The 9,673-nt window shown below is 40.2% G+C and overlaps 1 long non-coding RNA gene across 3 annotated transcripts in view, besides 13 other annotated features; it reads right to left on the minus strand.

Annotated features, from left to right (window-relative positions):
* Positions 1 to 3,764, minus strand: part of LOC102723576 (uncharacterized) — a 26,889-nt gene extending 23,125 nt beyond the window's left edge. For 2 of the 3 annotated variants that reach the window (XR_939020.3, XR_427569.4), the window contains exons 1-3: positions 2,505 to 3,564; positions 2,275 to 2,362; positions 1,017 to 1,152 (exon numbers count right to left, since the gene is read on the minus strand). This is a non-coding gene — a long non-coding RNA (uncharacterized LOC102723576). Of the gene's footprint in view, positions 1 to 1,016; positions 1,153 to 2,274; positions 2,363 to 2,504; positions 3,565 to 3,601 lie in introns of those variants that run through there. The other variant, XR_001741777.2, reaches the window with a different exon arrangement.
* Positions 1,178 to 8,324: an enhancer, noted in NCBI's record as "7.1 kb BamHI fragment used in the 7.1KF+SV40, 7.1KF+ADH1A, 7.1KF+ADH1B and 7.1KF+ADH1C reporter constructs". NCBI's record gives its function as "activates ADH gene promoters by reporter assays in HepG2 cells {active_cell/tissue: HepG2}" and the evidence as "EXISTENCE:reporter gene assay evidence [ECO:0000049][PMID:16675441]".
* Positions 1,296 to 2,296: a DNaseI hypersensitive site, noted in NCBI's record as "HS site D observed in liver of transgenic mice with a human ADH transgene; the nucleotide coordinates are approximate for this feature". NCBI's record gives its function as "accessible chromatin region in transgenic mouse liver {active_cell/tissue: liver}" and the evidence as "EXISTENCE:in vivo cleavage assay evidence [ECO:0001075][PMID:16675441]".
* Positions 1,795 to 2,069: an enhancer, noted in NCBI's record as "275 bp D or ENH enhancer fragment". NCBI's record gives its function as "activates ADH gene promoters by reporter assays in HepG2 and CP-A cells {active_cell/tissue: HepG2 | CP-A}" and the evidence as "EXISTENCE:reporter gene assay evidence [ECO:0000049][PMID:16675441, PMID:24971505]".
* Positions 1,837 to 1,981: an enhancer, noted in NCBI's record as "145 bp enhancer 160 fragment used in the MPRA reporter construct; PK_construct_2059". NCBI's record gives its function as "activates an SV40 promoter by MPRA in HepG2 cells {active_cell/tissue: HepG2}" and the evidence as "EXISTENCE:reporter gene assay evidence [ECO:0000049][PMID:23512712]".
* Positions 1,845 to 1,873: a protein binding site, noted in NCBI's record as "HNF1 site in the D region, 29 bp (CA133549-133577) oligo". NCBI's record gives its function as "binds HNF1 from mouse liver nuclear extract {active_cell/tissue: liver}" and the evidence as "EXISTENCE:protein binding evidence [ECO:0000024][PMID:16675441]".
* Positions 1,847 to 1,858: a transcriptional cis regulatory region, noted in NCBI's record as "core sequence of two HNF1 motifs; enhancer D activity is reduced when this region is mutated". NCBI's record gives its function as "necessary for enhancer D activity in HepG2 cells {active_cell/tissue: HepG2}" and the evidence as "EXISTENCE:site-directed mutagenesis evidence [ECO:0005528][PMID:16675441]".
* Positions 1,903 to 1,916: a transcriptional cis regulatory region, noted in NCBI's record as "HNF4 motif; MPRA enhancer 160 activity is reduced when this motif is scrambled". NCBI's record gives its function as "necessary for full MPRA enhancer 160 activity in HepG2 cells {active_cell/tissue: HepG2}" and the evidence as "EXISTENCE:site-directed mutagenesis evidence [ECO:0005528][PMID:23512712]".
* Positions 2,955 to 3,144: an enhancer, noted in NCBI's record as "active region_21738". NCBI's record gives its function as "activates an Ori minimal core promoter by ATAC-STARR-seq in GM12878 lymphoblastoid cells {active_cell/tissue: GM12878}" and the evidence as "EXISTENCE:reporter gene assay evidence [ECO:0000049][PMID:35858748]".
* Positions 3,195 to 4,140: an enhancer blocking element, noted in NCBI's record as "iA1C fragment used in reporter constructs". NCBI's record gives its function as "blocks ENH activation of the ADH7 promoter when located between the enhancer and promoter in HepG2 cells {active_cell/tissue: HepG2}" and the evidence as "EXISTENCE:reporter gene assay evidence [ECO:0000049][PMID:24971505]".
* Positions 3,696 to 3,990: a silencer, noted in NCBI's record as "tiled region #3022; K562 Repressive DNase unmatched - State 12:CtcfO". NCBI's record gives its function as "represses a minimal TATA promoter and a strong SV40 promoter by Sharpr-MPRA in K562 cells {active_cell/tissue: K562}" and the evidence as "EXISTENCE:reporter gene assay evidence [ECO:0000049][PMID:27701403]".
* Positions 5,904 to 6,904: a DNaseI hypersensitive site, noted in NCBI's record as "HS site E observed in liver of transgenic mice with a human ADH transgene; the nucleotide coordinates are approximate for this feature". NCBI's record gives its function as "accessible chromatin region in transgenic mouse liver {active_cell/tissue: liver}" and the evidence as "EXISTENCE:in vivo cleavage assay evidence [ECO:0001075][PMID:16675441]".
* Positions 6,570 to 6,911: a transcriptional cis regulatory region, noted in NCBI's record as "E fragment used in the 275/344+SV40, 275/344+ADH1A, 275/344+ADH1B and 275/344+ADH1C reporter constructs". NCBI's record gives its function as "cooperates with the D enhancer by reporter assays in HepG2 cells {active_cell/tissue: HepG2}" and the evidence as "EXISTENCE:reporter gene assay evidence [ECO:0000049][PMID:16675441]".
* Positions 6,785 to 6,834: a protein binding site, noted in NCBI's record as "NF-1 site in the E region; 50 bp (CA138481-138530) oligo". NCBI's record gives its function as "binds NF-1 from mouse liver nuclear extract {active_cell/tissue: liver}" and the evidence as "EXISTENCE:protein binding evidence [ECO:0000024][PMID:16675441]".

Raw genomic sequence — 9,673 nt, forward strand, 5'->3', positions numbered from 1 at the left:
AACAAAAGGGTGTTATATGGTCTCCTAGTATAAATTTCTGTGCTTCAGGTAATTCTGAACCCCCTCACTCCATGACTTTAGGGAGAAGAGGGTAATGGGGGTAATAGGAGATGCCCTGAAACACCTAAAAGCTTTTTCCTCTCAGCATGTATTCTCTAGGACTTGTAGTCTAAGATGTGAGATGGGACTAGGAATACTACCTCAGTCCATTTGGGCTGCTGTAACAAAATACCATAGACTGGGTGGCTTACAAATCACAGGAATTTATTTCTCACAGCCCTGGAGGCTGGGAAGTCCAAGATCAAGGTGCTGGCAGTTTGGGTGTCTAGTGAGGACCCTCTTCCTGGTTTGAAGGCAGGTACCTTCCTACTCACTGCAGCCTTGACTTCTTGGGCTCATGTGATCCTCCCACTTCAGCCTCCTGAGTAGCTAGGATTACAGGCACACACCACTATGTTGGGCTAATTTTAAAATTATTTGTAGAGACAGGGTCTCACTATGTTGCCCAGGCTGGTCTTGAACTCCTGGGCTCAAGCGATCCTAGCTTTCAGCCTGTGAAAGTGCTGGGATTACAGGCATGAGCCTTCATACCTGGCCTCTGGCCTCTTTTATAAGAGCACTAACCCCATTCATAAGGCCTTTTCCCCCATGACCTAATTACCTTCCAAAGGCTCTGCCTCCAAATACTATCAAGGGGATTGGGGGTTTTAGAATTTTAACATATGAGTGCTGGGGTTACATAAACTTTCAGACCGTAGCAAACACCTCACAGGTAGAACTAGCATAAGGACTCTGGGATGTTTATTCATCCAAAAGGGTTTCTTTAGGGCCTGAGTACTCCACGGGCTACACCCAACATATAACTAAACAAGACAGTCATGTGACATTTAGAACTTGATCCACCATTCCACCTGTGCAGCATCTGAAAATCTGGTGAGTGGAGGTTTAAGGAAATAAGTTGGAGCAGCCCATGTATTGCAGCAGTTCCCAAGCACTGAAAGTAGTAAGACTCTTACTTTAGTTCACTGGAGACTGAGGGCATCAGATTCTCCCACCTTCGGCATTAGCTCCCAAGGCTGTTCTCACTTCCGTTCATGGGATGCAGAAAATACTGACCCCAGCAGGAGGCAGTCTCCTTCTATGTCTCCAATGCTACAGAGAAGCACCAAAATCATAAGGATCCAAATGCTGAAAGGCTAATAGAAAGAATCCTTCAACCTGATGGAGAGTTGCGGGCATATCTCCTTTATGTCCCTATTTTTTCAGAAGAGCATTGCATGCCCTGCTCCCAACCTCCCCAACCCCATTTCTCCTGCCTTAGCCAAACCCATGTCTGAGCTAGGAGAAGAAGGTGAGCTCTTTTGACTATATATAAAGCCATAATAATAATATTAAAAAGTTCACTTTGGATTTCTATCACCATTCCTTTTCACCATGTGGTAAGCAGCTAAAGCCCAAAAGGACCTGGGGCACTCATAACCACATGCTTCACATGCATCACTCTTCTGCTGGAACCAAGGCAAAGGAGCTCCACTGGCACCCCAAAACCTCAGTTGAGACCACTTCTTAAACACTCCTTTCACTACCCCTGTGCTTTAACATGACTTATTTTCTATAAAGTTGTAAGAAAGTGGTAAGATTTTCTTAATCAACTACCCCTGTTGGGGGGGCCCAGCCCATAAGGAAGCCCCTTCTTTTAAAAGATCTGTTACTGTAGGCTTTGATCATCACTTTGGGAATACTTGTGAAAACTGTTAGAAGTTTGTCCTGGTGATTTTTACCATATTTCTGAATTCTGATTCTGAAAGCTGAGCTAATCATACACGGGATTAACGGTGCTTTAAAAGTTAATGGTTAATGATTAAAACACTTATGTTCTTGACTCTCCCTAAACTGAATTGTGGATGCAAAGTTCAAGAGAGAGAAACCAGTCAATACTGGAGCTGAAACAGACTGAAAACAAAATATGTTACCTAATGCTGAGCCTGTAACAGCAATGCAACTCTGAAACTAGATATGGCCTCATAGCTTCCTGGAATCTGAAAATAGTTACCTCAAAACTCATACTCAAAATAATGCCATAAAAAATACACAAAGTTCCAACTTTGTTTCTCAAAGAGCAAGATTTTTCATTCTCATTTTTAGGGAAAGAAACCATGTGTTAAATGAGAAAACAGAATCCAGCTACTCAACAAAGAGTGGGTGTGATCAGAAGGTGTGGTGCCGAATATCCTGCTTCAAGTCCCCAGCGTGTTTCATAAATTAGTAGCTTACCTTGGCAGAGAAAACAGATTCATTTTTCCCAGTAATTTGCCTTTTCGAGATGGAAATCTCCTTTTGAGCAGCACATTTTTCTATAGCCCTGAAAAGACCAATTTATATTTAAATGCATAATACACTCAGAATTTAAAAGGGGAAGGTAGTCATCACAAAAGTCAACTGCAAATTTCACATTGGCTTTAATTTCCCTATAGAACACCAGTTTATCAAATCTGAAGACTTACTTCATCAGTTCTTGATCTTAGAGGGTCTTTCAGCTTTGAGGAGTATCAGGGGCAAAGTGCTAATTTAGACAATAAACAAGCGCATTGTCTTTCTCTTGCTAAGACTGCAAAGGGTAACAGTATGTCAAATTGCTTTTCTTCTGACTGGGCTGAAAAACTCAGTCTGGTATCCCTAGTTATTTTTTACTTAACAGAAGCTCGGCATTAATGTGTGGCTTGGTTAATAGCAATGAGAAAAATAGTTACTACTTTAAAATGTTGTCTAGTAGAAGAGTTACCTCAAAACCTGAATCCTAAGAGGGGGCTATCAAAATGAAAGAGAAATTGATGATGACTCATTAATGAAACATAAGTCATTGAAATGTGGTCTATGATGGTCAGCCTCTTCCTGTGGTTGGTGAATCATTTCACCAGCAATTCTCAATCACATTTGGCCACTGCTCCTCTCAGGCAGCCCCTTGGCTATAGCTCCACTCCATCACTTGCCAGATTCTAGTAACTTCCTTGTCATCGACCTTCAGGCCTAGGGGCAATAATAGCTTCCCACTGTAGCGAAACCCTGGATACTTCAACATCCCTTATTGGAGTGATTAACCCTGCCTGTACCTCTGGAAAGAAAATTATCTCCCATTAAGCCCTAACTTGATTAAACAGGGGTTCCCTGCTAAGACCCTGACTGATACAGGTCCTACCTTCAGGTTTTCCACCAGACAAATCAATAAGCAGTGACTACTCAGCATGAGTACTACTGTGATGGAAATTCTAGTTCTCAGCCTAATCAGTAAGACGTTAACCAACATAAGGAACTGAGAAAATGTAACATGAAGAATGTAGCAACCACTGAATGCTTAGGGTTGAATGAACAAAACCATTCTTTCAACCTACAATTATAAATTTAGAACCTATAGGTAGAGGAATTGTGTGCGGGAATTAGAACACTTAAAATAGGAGAATGGGATCATTCTGTGGGATTAAACACTAATAAATGCAAATAAAGTATAAAAAGATAGACTTGAAGTCACATTGAAGATATAAGCAATCTCCCCCAATAATTCCCTTAGTATATGAAACTGTAAGCAAGATAATAATTTACATACTGATCAGATCATTTTATGTCCATTTTTCTCATTCCTAAAGCAGTTCCCAGGGCCTGCATGACAAAAGTGGGAGGATGAGCTTTACTCAAGTTGCTCAGCCAGTCCAGCATTTCTGGGTTTGATGTCTCCATCAAGCACAAAATTCTCAACTGTGGCCTTATTTTCTCAGTTCTGCTGGAAAAGAGAAGCAATCAAGGCAGTTGGAAAAATGTCCCAAGATAGGAGTGGTTATTTCTGTTTCTCTTCCTAGCGTCAGCATGAACTCACTGATAGCTAAATGCTGCCACCTTCCTGCCCTCATAAGTACTGCAGAGGAAACCAATCCTGAAAGGCCCAAACTGGATGGAATTAGAGACCATTATTCTAAGTGAAGTAACTCAGGAATGGAAAACCAAACACTGTATGTTCTCACTCATAAGTGGGAACGCAAATGAGGACGCAAAAGCATAACAATGGTACAGTGAACTTTGGGGACTCAGGGGAAAGGGTGGGAGAAGGGTGGTACAGTGTACACCGCTCAAGTGATGGGTGCTCCAAGATCTCAGAACTCACCACTAAAGAACTTATTCGTGTAACCAAACACCACCTGTTTCCCACAAATCTATTGAAATTAAAAAAAGGAAAAAGAAAAAGAAAGAGAAAAATTATTTTTTAAAAATCGAGTATGGAGAACCTCAAAAAAAAAAAAAAAAAAAAGGAAAGAAAAGAAAAGAAACACTGGTGGATCTCTATTCTTGTTAGCTTCTCTGCCAGCGGCTGGAGTTAGATGAATAGACCTGTGAAAGAACAAACACATAAACAGAAAATTAAATGATAACATGATACACGAAAAGAGACTTATACCAGGTTACAAAGAGACAGCAGACACATTGAGATCAGAGGAGATATTCTGGAGGAGTGAAGATAAAACTAAACCCTAAAAAATGAGCAGGAATTTGCCAAGACAAAGGGGAAGGATGAGAGAATATTCAAGGAGGAGGAGTAGCAAGACAGAAAGCAAGAAAGAAAATAAAACCCTGCATGGTGTGCGCAGCATTTTAATGTTGTCTGAGAATGTTGGGTAGTGCAGGGAGCAATGGGAACCCATCTCGAGGGGCCCTTGATGCCTATTAATAATCTTGGAGGCAAAGTAAAGCCCCTGAATATTTATTAAGCAGAAGTGGCATGGTCAGATTTGCCTTTTGGATATTACAGTCTGGGGACAGTGGGAAAGCTATATCTGAAGGGAGTAAGACAAGAGGCAAGGTATGTGAAATTTCTTGAAGTTCTCTTTGTAATTATCCTGAAGAAAGACAAGAAGATAGCAAAATTTCTCTTTAAGTATTGGTGATTTTCTAAAGAAAAATGAAAAATTAAGTCACAAAGACCATGTTTTTGGTGAGTACTGAGTAAACATTTTGAAACTCAGTAAATCTCACCAGAAGAATATCGTAATTCCCAAAGTAGAACTAAGCTTAGAACCGAGCTTGTCTCCAATGAATGATAATGGAGGTAAATCCATGGTAATTAGACCCTGAATCCTCTGCCTTGATTTTAAGAGAGAAACAAGCCAATGAAAGATAAGTATCCTTCTTCTTAAAGAAAACGGAGGAATAAGAAAGAGTTCCTGCTCTGATGGAAAGAAGGAGGGCAGAGATAAAACCTACGCCTAGGTGTTTGGCATTACCTCCATCCTTTTCAGGTGGTGGTCTATTCCCCTCTCTCCTACATGAACAAGAATCTGCTGGGGCTCAAGCAGAGCTGGTCACAATGAACAGAGCATCTCCTCTACATTCTACACATCCTGTCCATGCTGGGACCGTGAGGTATCCTGCTCTAAGGCTTGAAGTGAGAGAATGTGGATGTATTAGTTCATTCTCACACTGCTATAAAGAACTGCCCAAGGATGGGTAATTTATAAAGGAAAGAGATTCAACTGACTCACAGTTCAGCACGGCTTTGGAAACTTACAATCATGGCAGAAGGCAAAGTGGAAACAAGGCACCTTCTTCACAAGGCAGCAGGAAGGAGAAGAGCAAAGAAGGAAGAGCCCTTTATGAAACCATCAGATCTCATGAGAACTCACTCACTATCACGAGAACAGCATGGGGAAACTGTCCCCATGATTCAGTTACCTCCACCTGGTCTGTCCCTTGACATATAGGGATTATGGGGATTATGGGAATTATAATTCAAGATGAGATTTGGGTGGGGACACAAAGCCTAACCATATCAGTGGAGAATGAGTGTGATGCTGCTTTCTCCTTTGCTCTCAAAAATCCTTTATGTATTTAAAGCACAGAGGAAGAGAGTGCTGAATTTAGCATTCCCATGGGTGGGATTGGGGGATTTGAATAAGCCATTCAAATTAATTCCAAGGCCATTCTACAGTAGGCAGGGACATGCATTCGGTGGTTATTGCAGGAATATGGGCAAGAGATAAAGGAATGAACTAGGGCAACAAGCTAGCAGGGAAGAGGAAGAGAGAATTGATTGTTTCAATACTTTTAAGTTTCAAAGGGACAACACCCCAAAGTAGGATTAGAATTCTGCCATACCAAGCATCCTCTAAGCAGATAGGGATAAAATAAGGTTTCCTGATGGTGCTGGGACTGAGGTCCTAGAACCGAGTCCTCTCTTGTTTCTTCCGAGGGATTTCATCTTCGATTAAGCTATCTCTTTTGAGTGTTTCTTTCAAATGTAGCCAAGTGCTTCCTAGAACTTTCAGTGTCTTCCAGGAGAGACTATGTCTATGATTCTAATTTTCTAGAACAAATGCACTAGATAAGTCTCCTAGTTTGAAGCAGCAAATTGCAAGTGCTTTAGCACCTTTTCTTCCTTAGGGAGACACCCCTCAGTCTTCTTTTGGAAGGTAAAGGAAAACCAATAACCAATTTTATGACAATTTCAGAAACCCTCTCAAAACCATAGTAGGTACAGAAAAGTTATTAATAATAAAAAAGAAACCTCATTCTAGTTAGAACCTTTGAGAATGCTATATCAGACTTCAGAAAATAGCTACTGTGAGTTTTAATTGGAGGTAGAGTTGTAATCAAACCCAGGCCTCCTGAATTAGGTCACCACATCACACTTTTGACAAGTTGTAATACACAATCAGAGTACAATATTTGTACTTCCTATTTTTTGGCAGGAAAGTTTGTTTTATAAAAGGCCTTTCTGAATAAATAGTACTAAAATGATGCATGCCAGGTAGTTATGTAACTATGTGGTTCTTTGCCAAAACTTGCATTGAAATTTGTAAAATGCTAGTGAAATTAAAACAACATATCCATTTTTTTTTTCAAATATACCATTGCAAATTCAAGTAAGCCTTATTATTTTTTTAAATTTTACTTTAAGTTCTGGGATACATGTGCAGTACGTACAGGTTTGTTACATAGGTATACATGTGCCATGGTGGTTTGCTCCACCTATCAACCCGTCATCTAGGTTTTAAGCCCCAGATGCATTAGGTATTTGTCCTAATGCTAGTAAACATTAATTAAAATGTTGACTTGAATCTGAAGTGTAAGTCTCATTGGTTTACCAAACAGAAAAATAAATCCAAATTTAAAATTAAAAATTTGACTACCTGAAAGAGCTGTTGCCAAAAACATGCTTTATTATTTCACTCAATTCTTTGGCTAACATGAAGATGCATTTAATGAGCTGGACACGTGACACAGCCAGAAATACATAATCTTCTCAATTCAATTGTTAAATCAGCTAAGAATGTTTGCGTAGTGTCCATTGGGCACAAAACGTTCTATTAATACTAGGTACTGTTTTGAGAAAGAACTTAGAACATAATTCTTATCTTCTGACACTTTACATGTAAAACGGAATGGACTTTCAGTGAAGGCATCCGTCACTTTTCTGTACCCTATAGGGTAACAGACAAAGTCAGATACATGGTGGAAAGAACTACTGGAACCTAAAGCTGGTGGCCTAGGTAATCGAGATTTTCCTTAATGAAGGGAATCTAACTCTGTGAGGGAGTAAGGAATAAAAAAATGGACAAATACCTATGCATGAAGAAGATGAATACTATAAACTAGTTTATGGGGCCTTGGTTAGTTACTTATTACATAAAAATATAAATAATTTTAGATGTAAATAGCAATGAGAAACAAAAAAGAAATTGCTGGTGAAAGAAATCTTTGCAGAGACTGGAGTTGAAGTCGTGGGCAAGAGGGTACTCTTGGGAATGCTATTTCTATATAGTCCTTTTCTTCCTCTAAATTAAAATAATTTCATATCAATTTTGGCACTAATCAAATCACATTATCTTTGGGAAATATACATAAGGAAGCTGATTATTGAGGTAAATGTATAAAAATGTCCACAAGGTTTTAGCATCTTTTTCAGCTTCGTGAACCTAAACAATATCATTAATGTTTTGCAGCAAATACCAGCTACACTGGCCCTTTTATAGTTCCCAACAATAAATGGGTATGCTTTTCCCAAATTAATGGCCTTTGGCCATGTTTTTCCTTTGCCTGAGATAATTTTCTCTTCTCTTCACAGAACTGGCTCTAGCTTATCCTTCCATGTAAGCTTAAATTTACCTCCTCAGAGAGGCCTTCAAGTACCTTATGGAAAGCTGGAAATACCTTCCTGTTTCCCCTCTTTTTTCTCTCTAACACAGCACCTTGATCATTGCCTTATTTATCATTTATCAAAAATTGAAGTAATATACTTATATGTTTATTTACTTATTAAATCTCCTACTGTTACAGGATCCTTGGGGTGTCACTTTGCCAGCCAGAAACCTCTGTGGCCAGTGGCGCCTTTGCTCATGTTTTGCTCTGGCCTGCTGGGCTCATTCGGCCCACTCGGCCTGGCAGGCTATGCTCAGCTCATGCTACTGGTCTGGGTCCCACACCTGCCAAGGGTGAGCCCGTCATGGAGTGATGAGGGGTGTGTGAGGAAGTATGGGGTCTGGCCACTGCACACAGCCAGGCATGCTGGCTGCAGCAGGGTGGGCAGCTCCAGGTGCTGGCATGAGCACCCGCTTCCTGCAAGTCTGTGGCTGGACCAGGCATACCATAAGCAGCTTCCACAGCTGACACCAAGAATGCAGTGGTGCCTGGAAGCTTGGAGACATCAGGAACCATAAAGTTCCAAAGAGGGTGTTACAGCCTGGCTTAGGGAGCTCCTAGGTCTGGGCTCCCCAAAGGGTCGCAGCTCTTCTCTCCATCTCTTTTCTCTCCTTGTCACCCACAACATGGTGAGCAAGGGGCGTGTTTCAGCCCTGTTGGTGTTACAGCTCTTTTAGCCCGGCTATTTGGTGGGCCCCAAGTTCTTGTCCTGCGAACTGGAAGAATGAGGTATGCAGACAACTGAAGAGTGAGCAAGGTGAAGAAGAGCTTTATTGAGTGATAGAACAGCTCAGAGGAGACTTGCAGTGGGTCACTCCTTTCTGCAGCCAGGGTGTCCCGAAGAGTGTTCAGTTCCTAGCAGAGAGGAGCTGCCATCACTACTAGACCATATGCTCCAAAGGACATTCATTATTCTGTTTTATTCATTACTGTATACCAAACACCTAGCTCAGTGCTTAATACTGGTTGAAATTAAAAAAAAAATTGCCCAATGAATGTTCTCCACATATCAGTTAAATGATTAGAAGTCTAGACTATTCTTTAAAGAAGAAGCTGGATATTTCTTTTAGCATTCCTCTAGCTATTTATTGCTTACTTATATTTTGATTTATATTCAAGAACTCAGTTTGACAATGCTTTGTGGTTTCATTGACCAGAAATAAGAAATATGCAAAAATAATCAGATTTCCTGATCTCTTCTTAGAACCAGTGTTTTCTGATGACTCAAAATGCTATTCATGTGCAGGTTACCCTGAGAAAGATAGTAGAAGGTCTTTCTGTTCATTATTTGGCCATGACAAGCTCAGACATGAGGAATGATTCCACAAAGTATCATAATAAATATTAAATAAATAAAATTGTCACATATGCAGCATATTTGTCAAAATATAATTTTATCTAAGCATAAAGTGGATTTCATTTAAAAAGCTGTGATCTGAGAATATAAATGTGTTTATTCCTTCTTGGATTTATTTCTTTTGATGTACCTATA

The sequence above is a fragment of the Homo sapiens genome, chromosome 4 (assembly GCF_000001405.40).
Source record: "Homo sapiens chromosome 4, GRCh38.p14 Primary Assembly".
NCBI lineage: Eukaryota > Metazoa > Chordata > Mammalia > Primates > Hominidae > Homo > Homo sapiens.